This window comes from Homo sapiens, chromosome 20 (genome assembly GCF_000001405.40).
Source record: "Homo sapiens chromosome 20, GRCh38.p14 Primary Assembly".
Classification (NCBI taxonomy): Eukaryota; Metazoa; Chordata; class Mammalia; order Primates; family Hominidae; genus Homo; species Homo sapiens.
The window spans coordinates 25,424,022-25,441,387 of record NC_000020.11 but is presented as its reverse complement, the minus strand read 5'-3'; the positions used below and the strand labels follow the sequence as shown (position 1 = coordinate 25,441,387).

The following is a 17,366-nucleotide window of genomic DNA, read 5'->3' as shown; positions in this document are numbered from 1 at the left end:
AGGAATGTTTTAGATCTGCTCCAACCTGCTTCTTATAGATCCCTCCCATAAAATATCAGTATCTGAGAATGGGACACAGGTAAGTCTGCAGTATTCGTTTTTGGAAGCAATTCTTCCAATCCCATTCAAAATTCAGATAATTTCCCAGGAATACTTACAAGTACACCATGGAGGAGCAGATGCCACCTCACGTGACAGGATTCAGGAGTGGTAGCATTCTGATATCTACCTCTGCAACTACAAAGGTGTTCCCAGGTACAGGTTATAGACCTGCTACAGCACTAAGTGCTGCCACAGGAAGTAAGGGGGCACTTTTCCTCTTCTAGGAGAATTCAGACTGAAGTTTACTCTCACGAGTACTAGTGATGAACTGCTGTTGTTGCCAGGAGAGTCAACGCCAGCAACGACTATGTCTTCCACTTTTCCAGATAATTTTATCATGTCCTACCATCCCTCCGGAACCTTACCAAGACACCCAAAGTATTTTAATTAAATATGAGAAATACCACTCCAGAAAAATCCCCTGAGTCCTTTGCATTTGCTGTTTTTTCTTTCTTTTTTTTTTTTTTTTTTTTTTGAGACAGAGTCTTGCTCTGTTGCCCAGGCCAGAGTGCAGTGGTGTGATCTCCACGCACTACAACCTCTGCCTCCCAGGCTCAAGCGGTTCTCCTGCCTCAGCCTCCTGGGTAGCTGGGATTACAGGCGCTCACCACCATACCCAACTAATTTTTGTATTTTTAGTAGAGATGGGGTTTCACCATGTTGGCCAGGCTGGTTTCGAACTCCTGACCTCAAGTGATCTGCCTGTCCCCGCTTCCCAAAGTGCTGGGATTACAGGCATGAGCCACCACGCCTGGCCGCATTTGCTTCTCTAAATAAACTTTTATTTTGGGAAATCTCAAACACATTCAAAAGTAAAAAGACTACTCCATGTCCCCATCAACTGACATCAACACATGGCCAAGTTTATTCCCCTCACCCATTTGTGGGTTATTCTGAAGCAAATCTTAGACATCATTTCACCTCATCTGTAAATATTCTATTGTCTACTTCTATAAAACCAGATAATTTTAAAAATCCCAATACTGACTGTACATGGCAGCTCATGCCTATAATCCCAGCATTTTGGGAGGCTGAGGCAGGTGGATCACCTGAAGTCAGGAATTTAAGACCAGCCTGGTCAACATGGTGAAACCCCGCCTCTACCAAAAATACAAAATTTAGCTGGGTGTGGTGGTGCGTGCCTGTAATCCCAGCTACTCAGGAGGCTGAGGTTGCAGTGAGCGAGATCACACCAGTGCACTCCAGACTGGGTGACAGAATGAGACTCCGTCTCAAATAAATAAATAAAAATTATTAAGATGAGATAGTATTGGCATTTTTTTTTTTTTTTGAGACAGAGTCTCACTCTGTCACCCAGGCTAGAGTGCAGTGGTGTGATCTTGGCTCACTGGAACCTCCGCTTCCCAGGTTCAAGCAATTCTCCTGCCTCAGCCTCCCTAGTAGCTGGGATTACAGGAGGGAGCCACCACGCCCAACTAATTTTTTTGTATTTTTAGTAGGGACGGGGTTTCACCATGTTGGCCAGGCTGCTCTCAAATCCTGACCTCAAATGATCCACCTGCAGCTTCCCAAAGTGCTAGGATTACAGGCATGAGCCACCGTGCCCAGCCTTAATTAATAATTTTTAGTATCATGAACTATCTAGTTAGTATCCAAATTTCCCACTTGTCTCATGAATTTTTTTTAAGGTTTCCACGTTGAAATCAGAATCCAACAAAGCCACACATTACTTTTTTTTTAAATGTCTTGTAAGTCTCTTTTAATCTATAGGTTTCACTTCCTCTTTATTTTTTCCTTCCTCTTGGTATTTTATTTGTTGAAAAAATTGGGTGAGTAGTTTGTCACTGCAGGCTTGAACACCTGGTCTCAAGCAATACTCCTGCTTTGGCCTCCCAAAGTGTTGGGATTACAGACGTGAGTCACTGCACAGGGTCAGTACAACTTTTCACAATCAAGATTTTGTTGTGGATTTCTTTGGGGTCATTTAACATTGTTCCTTTGTCCCTGAGTTTCCTATAAAATGGAAGTTAGGTCTACATCAGATAAGGTGATTTTGTGGCAAATGGTGTTATGTACTTTCTGTTACAAGACCCCATAAAACACAAAGTGCCTGGCTGTCTCTTTTTGGATGTTGAGATTAATCAGTGGGCCCAAGTGTCATCCATACTCATGCATTATAAAGATCTCCATTATCTACTGAAAGGTTTTAGTAAATAAAGGGTTACAAGCATTAATCTAATTCTTATATTCCTGCTACATTTGTTAGCTGGAATTCTTCTATAAAAACAAATTTCCTTTGTAAACTATTGGGCTACCTTAAGATAGAGTTTGTATAGTAAAGACAATGGATGCTTTTATTCCATTCTCTAACTTGCCACTTTTCAAATGAGTTGGATCCCTCACATTCTCCAAGGAAACCTCAAAAATGTTTTATTTTTTAAAATTTTTGTTGGCCAGGCACAGTGGCTCATGCCCGTATTCCCAGCACTTTGGGAGGGAGAGGCAAGAGGATTGCTTGAGCTTAGGAGTTCAAGACGAGCCTGGGCAACATGGTGAAATACCATCGGTACAAAAAATACAAAAATTAGCTGGGTGTGGTTGTGAGCACCTGTAGTTACAGCTACTGTGGAAGCTGAGGTGGGAGGATGGCTTGAGCCTGGGAGGTGGAGGTTTTAGTAAACCAGGACTCCTTGCACTAAAATAGCTGATTCCAGGTCCTAAATAACAAATGAGCCGAGATTGTACCACTGTACTCCAGCCTGAACAACAGACCCAGATACTGCCTCAAAAAAAAAAAAAAAAAAAAAAAAAAGTGTTGTTCTTTGGTGTCATTATGCATTCATACTTCTAACGTAATTGATGTGATCCAATTCACCGCAGTTATTAGTCATGTTGATGCTAAAATTGTCCATTTTTTGGTTAGCAAGAGCTCCTTCAAATTGGCCCCCATATCCTTCCAGTAGTCCCCGCTTAGTCCTTGACACCTTCCTTCCTTTCTGGGAAGACAAGATGTTTCATGCTCAGTTCGTACATTTTTAATTCAGAACCTGGAATCAGCTATTTTTGTGCAAGGAGTCCTGGTTTACTTTAGTGGGAAATGGCATTTAGGTATAGACTCTGGACACTCATGGCTAATTGGCTTGGTCATTGTTTCTAGGCCTTTTCGGTAGGCAGAGCTAATCAATACTTTTTTTTTTTTTTTTTTGAGACGGAGTTTTGCTCTTGTTGCCCAGGCTGGAGTGCAATGCCACAATCTCAGCTCACTGCAACCTCCTTCTCATGGGTTCAAGCGATTCTCCCGCCTCAAATTCCTGAGTAGATGGGATTACGGGTGCCCGCCACCACGCCTGGCTAAATTTTGTATTTTTAGTAGAGATGGGGTTTCACCATGTTGGCCAGGCTGGTCTCAAACTCCTGACCTCAGGTGATCCACCCGCCTCGGCCTCCCAAAGTGCTGGGATTACAAGCGTAAGCCACTGTGCCCGGCCCCTTTTCTCTTATTCTGAAAACTGTTGGTAATGTCAATTACCCTTTTGCTCTATTCTTCAATATGAAAACTGTTTCAAAATAACAGTAACAAAATTATTACTAATAATATGATTAGTAAAAACAGGTTAAGAACTCTTTGTAATTCTTTTGTCCTCAGAACATATATACCAGGAATATACAATTTATGTGTTTTAAAGTAATGTAAATAACTCCTGGATTCAGGTAAAATGGTGGAGTAGGAAACATCAGGAATCTGTCTGCCTACCTCCACAACAACTGCACGGGCAGACTCTGTCTGACGTCAGTATTTTGGAACTCTGGAGTCTACTGAAGGCTTGAGGTTGGAGCTTTGACAAACATTCACTGCAATTTACTGTCCATTTTGCCTCTTAGCATAGCAGCAGCTAACCATCCCCTGTTCCTAGCTTTGTGGCAGGCCACAGTGCATGTGTTCTTGGAGTAGCTTGTACACAGGTTGCTGGTGCAGAGTGTGCAAAAAGCACCCTGCTCCTCACTGCTGATTGCTGTTTCTGATCACAGAGGTGCAAATGATGAGGCTGGCAGACATTTTTGTCACACCTTCTCAAAGGCTGCAAGCCCCTCCCGCATTCCACTGAAGTGAATTCCAGGGGATTTAAAGGGCTAGCACCGTTTTCCCACCTCTATTCATTTTTCTTTTTTCCCCCTTTCAGGAGCCAGACATTAAAGACTAGGGCAGTGAAAAGCAACTGTGTATACAGGAAAAATTAGAAAGTGACCAAGGAAAGGCACAGGTTCAATAAAGATTTGAGAAAACCTTAAGGTTATACCTCAGGTTGATTCTAAGCACAGCGACAGCTTACAACAACCAAAAAAACAAAAACAGTAACAAAACCAGCAAACCCTGGGGGAAAGGGGAGAATCTGATTTATAGAGTTATAACATTATTAGACTGAAATGTCTGGTTTTCAGCAAAAACAATCAAATCACAAGACATACAAAGAAACATAAAAGTATGGTCCATTCAAAGGAAAAAGAAAAATAAGAAATGGTCCCTGAAAAAGACTTGATGGTAGATCTATTACACAAAGACTTTACAACAAGAGTTTTAAAGATGCTCTAAGAACTACAGGAAGATGGGGAGAAAGTTATGGAAACAATGTATGAACAAAATGGAAATAGTAGAGAAATAGAAAACCTAAAAAGACCAAAAAGATATTCCGGAGCTGAGAACTATAAAAACCGAAATGAAAAATTCACTTGAGGGATTCAAAGACAGATTGGAGCAGGCAGAAGAACAAGCAAACCTAAAGACAGGATAACAGAAATGACTAAGTCTGAAGAACAAAAATAAAAAAAGACCGAAGAAAAGGACAGAGCCTGAGAGACCTGAAGGGCACCATCAAGCAAACCAAGAAGAGAAAGACAAAGGGGCAGAGAGAATTTTTGAAGAAATAGTAACTGAAAACTCCTTAAATTTGATAAAAGACATAAATATAAACATCAAAGAAGCTCAACAAACTACAAGATGATCTCAGACTCGCAATGAGACACATTATAATCAAACTTTCAAAAGACAAAGAATCTTGAAAGCAGCAAGAGAGGGCTGGGCAGGGTGGCTCACACCTATAATCTCAGCATTTTGGGAGGCCAAGGTGGGAGCATCACTTGAAGCCAAGAGGTTGAGACCAGCCTAGGCAACATAGGGAGACCCTGTTATCTAGAAAAAGTTTAATTCGGCCGGGCACAGTGGCTCACGCCTGTAATCCCAGGACTTTGGGAGGCCAAGGTGAGATCACAAGGTCAGGAGATCGAGACCATCCTGGCTAACATGGTGAAACCCCGTCTCTACTAAAAATACAAAAAAAAAAAAAAAATTAGCTGGGCATGGTGGCAGGTGCCTGTAATCCCAGCTACTTGAGAGGCTGAGGCAGGAGAATGGCATGAACCCGGGAGGTGGAGGATGCAGTGAGCTGAGATTGCGCCACTGCACTCCAGCCTGGGTGACAGTGTGAGACTCCGTCTCAAAAAAAAAAAAAAAAAAAAGTGTAACTCTACAAAAAGTTGGTTTTTTTTTTTTTTTTTTTTTTTTGAGACGGAATCTCACTCTGTTGCCCGTGCTGGAGTGCAGTGGTGTGATCTCGGCTCACTGCAACCTCTGCCTCCCAGGTTCAAGCAATTCGCAATTCTCCTCCCTCAGCCTTCCGAGTAGCTAGGATTACAGGCGTGCACCACCACACCCGGCTAATTTTTGTATTTTTAGTAGAGATGGGGTTTCATCGTTTTGCTCAGGCTGGTCTCAAACTCCTGACCTTGTGATCTGCCTGCCTCGGCCTCCAAAAGTGCTGGGATTACAGGCGTGAGCCACCACACCTGGCCCCAAAAACTTTAAAAATTAGCCAGGCTTGGAGGTATGCGCCACTAGTCCTAGCCACTTGGGAGGCTGAGGTGGATTGCTTCAGCCCAGGAGTTTGAGATTACAGTGAGCTATGATTGTGCCACTGCGGTTTATCCTGCTTGACACAGTGAGACCCTGTCTCTAAAAAATTCAAAAAGAAAGCAGCAAAAGATAAGTAAGTCATCACATACCTGGGATCCTCAATAAGATTTTCACCAAATTTCTTATTACAAACTTTGGAGGCTAGAAGGCAGTGGGCCAATATATTCAAAGTACTAAAAGAACAACATCACCAACCAAGAATCCTATATATGGTAACTATCACAAGATAGTAACTTGAACCCATGTGAAGAAATAAAGATCTCAATATAGGTAAATGCTATGTCTGAATGCATCCCCAAAAATCAATGTGGTAGAAATTTAATCCTCAATTCAACAGTGTTGGGAGGTGAGGACTTTGGTGAGGTGGTCAGGGCATAAGGGCTCTGCCTTCATAAATGGATTTATGCCATTATAAAATGACTTGATGGAAGGAGTTTGGTCCTTTTTGTCCTTCCACCTTCTGCTATGCAAGGACACTGCATTTCATCCCTCCAGAGGATGCAGCATTCAAGGCGCCACATTGGAAGCAGAGTGTAGCCCACAGAAGACAAATGAATCTGCTGGCACTTTGATCTTGGACATCCAGGCCTCCAGAATTAATTGAGACAGGCTGGCTGGGCACAGTGGCTCAAGCCTATAATCCCAACACTGAGAGGCTGAGGCAGGAGCACTGCTTGAGGCTAGGAGTTCAAGACTACCCTTGGCAACATAGCAAGGTCACATCTCTACAAAAAATGTAAACATTAGCCAGGCACAGTAGTGCATGCCCGTAGTCATAGCTACTTAGGAGGCCGAGGCAGGAGATTGATTGAGCCCAGGCGTTCAAGGCTGTAGTGAACTATGATTGTACCACCACACCCCAGCCTGGATGACAAACAGAGCAAGACCTTGTCTCTTTAAAAAAAAAAGAAAAAAAATTACTGTTCGTTAGAAATTACCTAGTCTCAGGTATTTTGTTTTAGCTGCTCAAATGGACTAAGACAGTGAATACATGGAAAATTCTAAAACCTAGCAATATTGTAACATTTTATAACTCTATTTTTTGTTGGGTTTTTTTTTTCTGGGCAGCGGGGAGGTGTGGAGACTCATTCTGTCGCCCAGGCTGGAGTGCAATGGTGCGATCTCAGTTCACTGCAATCCCCACCTCCTGGTTCAAGTGATTCTCCTGCCTCAGCCTCCTGAGTAGCTGAAACTACAAGCTCGTGCCACCACACCAGTTAATTTTTTTTATTTTTAGTAGAGATGGGGTTTTGCCATGTTGCCCAGGCTGGTCTCAAATTTCTGAGCTCACGCAATCCACCCACCTCGGACTCCCAAAGTGCTAGGATTACAGGCATAAGAGCCACCACCCCCAGCCCCTATTTTTTGTTTTTAACATGATTTCAGTGACTAACACATTTAAAAAAACATTGATTAGTCTAAAAGCTAGTATTATTGTAACTTTGCAACCCTAAATTTTGTTTTCTACACAATTTAAGAAACTAATGCATTTAAAAGATTTATTAGTTTATGTTTTGGGGCTCACAACATATAAAGATGTAGTTTTGTGACATCAACAATAGAAATAAGGATGGAGCTTTTGATTTGAGGGATCAGAATTTTGGTATGTTACTGAAGTCAAGCTGCTGTAAGTTGAAATTAAAGTGTTATAATTTTAAGATATTAAATGTACTAGCTATCACTAACCACAAGGAAAACAGCTATAGAATATAGTTGGTCCTCTGTCTCTGTAGGTTCCGTATCTGCAAATCAAAAATTTTTTTAAACAAATGGATGGTTGTGTCTGTACTGAACATGTACAGACTTTTTTTCCTTATTGTTATTCCCTAAAAATGATATGGTATAACAACTATATCTATGGCATTTATATTGTATAAGGTATTGTAAGTAATCTAGAGATTATTTAAAGTATATAACAGCATGTACCTAGGTACTATTCAAATACCATACTACTTTATATAAGGGACTTGAGCATCCATGGATCTTGGTATCTGTGGGGGGTAATGAGGAAATGAGAAAGAAATCTAAATGTTTCAAAAAATCAACTAAATACTGAAGAAGGCAATAATGAAGGAAATGAGAGACAAAAAAGTTATTATTCCCCAGTCCATTGCAAGAAAAAAAAAGTTATAAGGCATATAGAAAAACAGCAAAATGACAGAAGTCCTTCCTTATCAGTAATTATGTTAAAGGGGATGGATTAAACTCTTTAAGCAAAAGACAGAGATTAGCAGAATGGATTAAACAAAACGATCCAATCACATGTTGTCTACAAGAGACTCACTATAGACCCAAAGACACAAACATTAATAGATTGAAAGTGAAAGGGTAGAAGAAGATATTCTATGCGAATACCTGCCAAAAGAGAACCAGGGTGGCTGTACTAATATTAGCTATAATGGACTTTAAATTTAAAAAGCTTACCAGAGACAAAAAAGACTATTATATATTATAGAATATATATTAATATATAATGTTATTATATAAGTTAATATATAATAAACATATACTATATAACATAATATATGATAAATATATAATACATACAAGAAGATATAACAAGTATAGACACATCTAATAACAATTCATCTGCCAGTTGTGGTGGCTCACGCCTGTAATCCCAGCACTTTGGGAGGCCGAGGTGGGCAGATCACCTGAGGTCAGGAATTCCAGACCAGCCTGGCCAACATGGCGAAATCCCATCTCTACTAAAAATACAAAAATTAGCCAGGCATGGTGGCACGTGCCTGTAATCCCAGCTACTCGGGAGGCTGAGGCAGGAGAATCGCTTGAACTCGGGAGATGGAGGTTGTAGTGAGCCAAGATCGCACCACTGCACTCCATCCTGGACAACAGAGCAAGACTCTGTCTAAAAAAAAGAAGAAAATTAGCCGGGCGTGGTGGTGCACTCCTATAATCCCAGCCACTTGGGAGGCTAAGGTAGGAGAATCATTTGAACTCGGGAGGCGGAGGTTGCAGTGAGCCGAGATTGTGCCACTGCCTGGGCAACAGAGTGAGACTCCGTCTCAAAAAAAAAAAAGAAAGAAAGGAAATTTTGAAAATACTTAAAGGTGAAAAAACAAAAACATAACACATCAAAATGTATGGAATGCAGCAAAAGCAGTACTGAGAAATTTATAGTTACAAACATAAACACCTACATTAAAAAATAAGACAGATTTCATGGCCAGGCGCGGTGGCTCACGCCTGCAATTCCAGCACTTTGGGAGGCTGAGGCAGCAGATCATTTGAGGTCAGGAGTTCAAGACCAGCCTGGCCAACATGGTGAAACCCCGTCTCTACTAAAAATACAAAAATTAGCTGGGCATGGAGGCACATGCCTGTAGTCCCAGGTACTCTACTTGGGAGGCTGTGGTGGAAGGATCACTTGAACCCGGGAAATGGAGGTTGCAGTAAGCCGAGATCGCACCACTGCACTCCAGCCTGGAAAATACAGTGAGACTCTGTCTCAAAAACAAAAACAAGGCCAGGCATGGTGGCTCACACCTGTAATCCCAGTACTTTGTGAGGCCAAGGTGGGTGGATCACTTGAGGTAAGGAGTTCAAGACCAGCCTGGACAATACAGTAAAATCCTGTCTCTAGCAAAAAATACAAAAATTAGCCGGGCGTGGTGGCGCACCCCTACAGTCCCAGCTACTCGGGAGGCTGAGGCATGGGAATCACTTGAACCCTGGAGGCGGAGGATGAAGTGAGCTGAGATTGTGACACTGCACTACAGCCTGGGTAACAGAGTGAGATCCTGTCTCAAAAAAAAAAAAAGAAAAAAGAAAAAAGGAAAAAGAAAAAGAAAAAGAAAAAAGAAACAAAAACAAAAACGAAAGAAGACAAATTTCAAGCCAACCACCTAACTTTACATCTTAAGGAACCAGAAAAAGAAAAGCAAGCTAAACCTAAAGCTAGAAGGAGGAAATAATGATTAGAGCAGACATTAATAAAATGAAGAACAGAAACACTCATAGAGAAAACCAATAAAACTAAAATTTGGTTATTTTAAAAGGTCAACAAAATTTACAAACCTTTAGCTAGACAGACTAAGAATAAAAGAAGGCTCAAATTACTAAAATCAAAAATGAAAGTGAGGACATTACTACCAATCCTACAGAAATAAAAAGAGTTCTAAGAGTCCTATGAACAATTGTACACCAACAAATTGGAAAACCTAGATGAAATGGACAAATTCCCAGAAACACAAACCTACAAAGACTGAATGATTAAGAACTAGTAAATTGGAATAGACCTATAGCTAGTAAGGGGACTCAATCACTAATCAAAAATCTCTCAATAAAGAAAACCCTAGAGCTGATGGCTTCACTGGGTAACTCTATCAAACATTTCAAGAACACCAATCCTTCTCAAACTTTTCTAAAAAATATAAAAGGAGGGAACACCTCCCTAACTCATTTTATGAGGCCAGCATTACCCTAATACCAAAGCCAGAAAAGATACTCCAAGAAAACTATAGACCAATGTCCCTTATGAACACTGATGCAAAAATTCTCAACACAGGCCAGGCATGGTGGCTCACGCCTGTAATCCCAGCACTTTGGGAGGCCAAGGCGGGAGGATCACCTGAGGTCGGGAGTTCGAGACCAGCCTGACCAACATGGAGAAACCCCATCTCTACTAAAAACACAAAATTAGCCGGGTGTGGTGGCACATGCCTGTAATCGCAGCTACTTGGGAGGCTGAGGCAGGAGAATCGCTTGAACCCAGGAGGCAGAGGTTGCGGTGAGTCAAGATCGTGCCATTGCACTCCAGCCTGGGCAACCAGACCAAAACTCCGTCTTGAAAAATAAAAATTAAAAAAATTATCACCACAATAGTATCAAATCAAATTCAGCAGCATAGTAAAAGAGTTCATCATAAATCAATTGAGATTTATTTTTGGAATGCAAGGACAGTTCAAGATATGAAAATCAATCAATATAAGTCATTAACAGAACGAAGGGAAAAAAACATGATCATTTCAATTGATACAGAAAAAGCGTTTGACAAAATTCAACTTCCTTTCATAAAAATACTCAACAAACTAGGAACAGAAGATAACTATACATCAACATAATAAAAGCCATATATGGAAACTCTACAGCAAACATCATATTCAATGGTGAAAGACTGAAAGCTGGCCAGGCACGGTGGCTCACGCCTATAATCCCAGCACTTTGGGAGGCCAAGGCGGGTGGATGATGAGGTCAGGAGTTCAAAACCAGCCTGGCCTCTATGGTAAAACCCTGTCTCTAATAAAAATACAAAAATTAGCTGGGCGTGATGGCATGTGCCTGTAGTCCTAGCTACTTAGGAGGCTGTGGCAGGAGAATCGCTTGAACCTAGGAGGCGGACGTTGAAGTGAGCTGAGATTGTGCCACTGCACTCCAACCTGGGCAACAGAGCAAGACTCTGTCTCAAAAAGAAAAAGAAAGACTGAAAGCTTTTCCTCTAAGTTCACTAAGAAGGCAAAAGATTTCTGCTTTTGCCACTTCTATTCAACATAAAACTGGAGTTACAGTCAGAGTAATTAGACAAGAAAAAGAAATAGGATTCTAAATTAAAAAGGAAAAACTAAAATTATCTGTTTGCAGATGATATGATCTTACATGTAGAAAATTTTAATGATTCCACAAAAAACTTTTAGAACTAATAAATGAATTCAGCACAGTAACAGGATGCAAAGTCAACACACAAAAATCAGTTGCATTTCTATACACTAACAACGAACAATCTGAAAATAAAAATTATGAAAATAATTCAGTTTATCAGTGCGAAAAGAATAAAATATATAGAAATTAAATTAACGAAAGAGGAGAAAGATTTGAACAATGAAAACTAAAAAACACTGCTGAAGAAAATTAAAGATGACATCAACAATTGGAAACACATCCCATGTTCATGGATTGGAAGATTTAATATTAAGATGTCAATGCACCCTAAGTGACCTACACAATCCCTACTATAATCCCAAAAGTGTCTTTTGGAGAAACAGAAAAACCCATCCCACAATCCATATAAAATCTCAAATAGTGAAAACAACCTTTAAAAAGAGGAATGGGGCCGGGCGTGGTGGCTCATGCCTGTAATCCGGCACTCTGGGAGGCTGAGGTGGGCGGATCACCTGAGGTCAGGAGTTCGAGACCAGCCTAGCCAACATGGTGAAACCCCATCTCTACTAAAACTATAAAAAATTAGCCGGGCATGGTGGTAGGCGCCTTTAGTCTCAGCTACTTGGGAGGCTGAGAAAGGAGAATCACTTGAACCCAGGAGGTGGAGGTTGCAGTGAGCCAAGAGTGCACCACTGTACTCCAGCCTGGGCGACAGAGCAAGACTTCGTTTCAAAAAAAAAAAAAAAAAAAAAAAAAAAAAAAAAAAAAGAGAGAGGAATGAAGGTGGAGGACCCAAAATCCCTAATTTAAACTTACTGCAAAGCTACAACAATCGAAATACTACAGTTCTGGCATAAAGACAGATGTATATATATATTAAAAAAACTTTTTTTACGACAGATGTACAGAACAATGGAATAGGATAAAGAGATAAAAAATAAACCCTTGCCTACATAGTCAAATGATTTTTGACAAGAGTGTCAAAACCATTCACAATGGGGAAAGGGCAGTCTTATTAAGAAATTATGCTTGGAGGCCGGGTGCGGTGGCTCACACCTGTAATCCCAGCACTTTGGGAGGCCGAGGTGGGCGGATCACAAGGTTAGGAGATCCAGACCATCCTGGCTAACACGGTGAAACCCCGTCTCTACTAAAAAATACAAAAAATTAGCTGGGCGTCGTGGTGGGCACCTGTGGTCCCAGCTACTCGGGAGGCTGAGGCAGGAGAATGGCGTGAACCCAGGAGGCAGAGCTTGCAGTGAGCCGAGATTGTGCCACTGCACTCCAGCCTGGGCGACAGACAGAGACTCTGTCTCAAAAAAAAAAAAAAAAAAAAAAAAGAAATTATGCTTGGAAAGCTAGATTTCCACATGCAAAAAAATAAAGTTGGACCATCACCTAACACCATACAAAAATTAACTTGAAATGGATCAAAGACCGAAATGCAAATGTAAAACAACATAATACTTAGAAGGAAATACAGGTCAAAAGTTTTATGACATTGTATTTAGCAATGATTTCTGGGATATGACTCCTAAGGCACAACCAACAAAACAAAAAAAATTGGCCGGGTGCGATGGCTCACGCCTGTAATCCCTGCACTTTGGGAGGCCAAGGTGGGTGGATCACCTGAAGTCAGGATTTCAAGACCAGCCTGGCCAACATGATGAAACCCTATCTCTGCTAACAATACAAAAAATTAGCTGGGTGTGGTGGTGCATGCCTGTAATCCCAGCTACTCAGGAGGCTGAGGCAGGAGAATCGCTTGAACCCAGGAAGCAGGGGTTGCAGTGAGCCGAGATCACACCACTGCATTCTAGCCTGGGCAACAAGAGCAAAATTCCATCTCAAAAAAAAAAAAAAAAAAATGACGAACTGGGCTGCATGAAAATTTTAAAATATCAACATGATACTGAAGGAAGAAAACAGAAAAAAAAGAAAAAAAAAGACACTATCAACAGCATAAAAAGGCAACCCAGAGAATGGGAGAAAATATTTGCAAATCATATATCTGATAACAAATTAACATACTGAATACATAAAGGATTTCTAAATCTCCACAACAACAAAACCCTATTTGAAAATGGGCCCCATAAAGGGGGCCAATTATTTGAATAAACATTTCTCCAAAGAAGACACAGGAATAGCTAATAAGCATATGAAAAGATGCTCAACATCACTAATCATTAGGGAAATAAAAGTCAAAACCACGTTTTACATCCTTTAGGATGGCTATGATTAAAAAACAGAACAAGGCCAGGCATGGTGACTCATGCCTTTGGGAGGCTGAGGCGGGAGGATCACCTGAGGTCAGGAGTTCAAGACCAGCCTGGCCAAAATGGTGAAACCGTGTCTCTACTAAAAATACAAAAATTAGCCAGGTGTGGTGGTGGGCACCTGTAATCCCAGCTACTTGGGAGGCTGAGGCAGGAGAATCACTTGAACCTGGGAGGTGGAGGTTGCAGTTGAGGTGAACCTGGGAGGTGGAGGTTGCAGGTTGAGCCGAGATCGCGCCACTGCATCCAGCCTGGGTGACAAGAGCAAAACTCTGTCTCAAAAACGAAACAAAATAACCCCAAAATATTTAGTGTTGGTGAGGATGTGGAGAAAATGGAACCCTTGCGTAATGTTGGAATGTAAAATGGTATGGCTGCTGTGGAAAGCAGTATGACAATTCCTCAAACATAGTATTACCATATGATCTAGTAATTCCACTCTGGATATATGCCCCCCAAAATTAAAAGCAGAGTCTCAAAGAGATTTATATATCCACGTTCATAGCAGCATTGATCATAAAATGATAGCTAAAATAAAGAAGCAACCCAGTGTCCATAGATGGATAAATGGATAAGCAAAATGTGGTATAGCCAGAAAAAGGAATATTACTCATCCTTAAAAAGGAAGGAAATTCTGGGCCAGGCGCAGTGGCTCACACCTGTAATCGCAGCACTTTGGGAGGCCGAGGAGGGAGGATCACCTGAGCTCGGGAGTTCGAGACCAGCCTGACCAACATGGAGAAACCCAGTCTCTACTAAAGATACAAAATTAGCCAGGGGTGGTGGCACATGCCTGTAATCCCAGCTGTTTGGGAGGCTGAGGCCAGAGAATCACTTGAACCCAGGAGGCGGAGGTTGCGGTGAGCCAAGATCGCACCACTAGACTCCAGCCTGGGCAACAAGAGTGAAACTCCATCTCAAAAAAAAGAAAAAAAAAATTGTGCAATGGTGCAATCTCAGCTCACCGCAACCTCCTTCTCCCCGGTTCTAGCGATTATCCTGCCTCAGCCTCCCAAGTAGCTGGGATTACAGGCATGTGCCCGGCTAATTTTGTATTTTTAGTAGAGACGGGGTTTCTCCATGTTGGTCAGGCTAGTCTTGAACTCCCGACCTCAGGTGATCCTCCTTCCTCAGCCTCCCAAAGCGCTAGGATTACAAGCATGAGCCACCGTGCCCAGCCGGAAATTCTGACACAAATTCTTACCACAGATACCACAGAAATGAACCCTGAAGATATTACGCTAAGTGAAATAAGCCAGTCACAAAAAGACAAATAACTTGTCATTTGTAGCTTCTCAGAAATTATTCTCTAACGAGAACAAAAGAAAACAAAAAGACAAATACTATATGATTCCACTCACATGAGGTAGTTACAGTAGTCAAAATCAGAGACAGACAGTAGAATGGTGGTTGCTGGGGGATGGGAGGCAGGGGTATTGAGAAGTTATTGTTTAATGGGTAGAGTTTCAGTTTTATAAGATGAAAAAAATCTGGATATGGAATGGTGGTGACAGCTGCAAAACAATATGAAAGTTGCAAAACAATATGGAATGTTAAACAATATTTAATACCACTTAAATGTACATTTAAAAATAGCTAAGATGGTAGATTTTATATGTATTTTATTATTTAAAAAATAGAAAAAATAAACAAAATGAAACAAAAATACCTCTTGTTTTGACTAATCCACCAACTTGAAAGACATTTGCTTTTTTTACTTTCAAAATTTAGCATTGATTTTCCATTTTGATTTAACTTTGTTTTGACATTTGTTTCATTTTACTTTCAAAATTTAGGGACTGATTTTCCATTTTGATTTAACTTTGTTTTGACATTTGTTTCATTTTACTTTCAAAATTTAGGGACTGATTTTCCATTTTGATTTAACTTTGTTTTAGTAATAGCTAAAACATTTATAGGGTTCCATACTCAAAACTATTAAAACAGGTATATTCAGAAAATTATAGCTGTTCCATCGTATTCTGTCATCCCCCTACAGGTAGCTTGTTTGATTTGGTCTATGCTTCTTTTCTATTTTAATAGAAGCTAACACATATTCATATACTCCTCTCTTCTTAAAAGGTAGCACAATTTACACATTAAAGAAAAATGCATTTTAAAAAGATATACATACTTCAATATATAGGCTTTTTGGTGGTTTCATATCCTGTGTAATGTCCAAACCTTCATCTCCTCCCAGTGACCTCATATAAGTAGCAAGAGATCTTTTATAATTATTAAACCACTCCATCTGCAAACATAGAGATGATCATTTGACAAAATTCTAAGAAAACTTGCACACACTGAATATCATCCATTCGAAAACAGTACACATCCCAACACAAATCACTGTTGTGACCATTCATTCATTAATGCTAAAATATTAATTGCCTCCTATGATATAGGCATTGGTCTGGGTACTTACAATGAATCATTCAATAAAGTGAACAAAAATCTCTGTTCTCAGAGAGCTTACATTTCAGCATACTTAATAATAAACCTTAGGAATCTTTGACCAGAAACAGAACCATGAAAAAGACGCCATTTCAGAATTATATCTTCAAACTCTGCATTGATGCTATTTCTGAAAACTATAAAACATTGTTAAGAAAACCCAAATGTCCACCAGCTGATGAATGGATATGTGCCCATATGATGGAACATTATTTAACCATAAGTAACAATGAAGTTCTGAAACGTATTGCCATTACCACATGAAAGACAGAAGGCCACATATTGCATGATTCTACTCATATGAAAAACCTGTAATAGGTAAATCTATAGAGACAGAAAGTAGATTCGGGATTTCCAGGAGCTGGGAGGAGGGAAGAAAATATAGAGTAACTATAAAGGGGACAGGGCTTCTTTGTAGGGTGATGAAAATATTCTCAAATAAGAATGTGGTATTGGATGCACAACAACTCTGAATATACTAAAAACCACTGCACTGTACAATTTAAGATGGTAAACTTCACAGTGTATGAATCATATCTCAGTAAATCTGCTATTTTAAAAAAAAAGTTGAAAACAATGAAAGACCTAAATAATACCATATTCACAGATTGGATGATTCAATATTGTAATAACGTCAACAATCTATAGATTCAATTCAATCTCAATCAAAATCTTAACTTTCTTTAAAATGGAACCTGACAAACTGAGTCTAAAATTTACATGGAAGTGCAAAGGGCTAATAGTTGAAATGCTCTCAAAAAAGAACAAGATGGGAACTTGCTCCAACTATACTATATAGTTACAGTAATTACAACAGTGGAATTGGTATAAGAACAGATAGACTAGCATAACAGAAGAAAAAGTCCTCCCATTCAGAATCCACAGGAATACTGACACTCAATGTATGACAAAGGTGGCACCATGCACACAGTGATGGGAGAGGCAGATCTGTTCAATACATGGTGCTGGGTCATCTCAATATCTAT

At 40.3% G+C, this 17,366-nt stretch overlaps 1 protein-coding gene across 8 annotated transcripts in view, besides 2 other annotated features; it reads right to left on the bottom strand.

The window, feature by feature from the left end:
* GINS1 (GINS complex subunit 1) overlaps positions 1 to 17,366 on the bottom strand; it is a 40,891-nt gene that overhangs the window by 7,176 nt on the left and 16,349 nt on the right. For 4 of the 8 annotated variants that reach the window (NR_134574.2, NM_021067.5, NM_001410831.1 and 1 more), the window contains one exon: positions 16,061 to 16,177. The exons of 1 other annotated variant lie outside the window; for it this stretch is intronic. Coding sequence is in view for 3 of the 7 variants with exons in the window: in NM_021067.5 (NP_066545.3) it covers positions 16,061 to 16,177 (117 nt within the window). In the remaining 4 variants the exon portion in view is untranslated. Of the gene's footprint in view, positions 1 to 16,060; positions 16,178 to 17,366 lie in introns of those variants that run through there. 3 more of the 8 variants (XR_007067484.1, XR_244227.5, XM_047440625.1) reach the window with 1 other exon arrangement.
* Positions 2,664 to 3,335: an enhancer, noted in NCBI's record as "H3K27ac-H3K4me1 hESC enhancer chr20:25418689-25419360 (GRCh37/hg19 assembly coordinates)". NCBI's record gives its function as "activates a minimal SCP1, AML or CMV promoter by ChIP-STARR-seq in primed H9 embryonic stem cells {active_cell/tissue: H9 hESC(primed)}" and the evidence as "EXISTENCE:reporter gene assay evidence [ECO:0000049][PMID:30033119]".
* Positions 3,336 to 4,007: an enhancer, noted in NCBI's record as "H3K27ac-H3K4me1 hESC enhancer chr20:25418017-25418688 (GRCh37/hg19 assembly coordinates)". NCBI's record gives its function as "activates a minimal SCP1, AML or CMV promoter by ChIP-STARR-seq in primed H9 embryonic stem cells {active_cell/tissue: H9 hESC(primed)}" and the evidence as "EXISTENCE:reporter gene assay evidence [ECO:0000049][PMID:30033119]".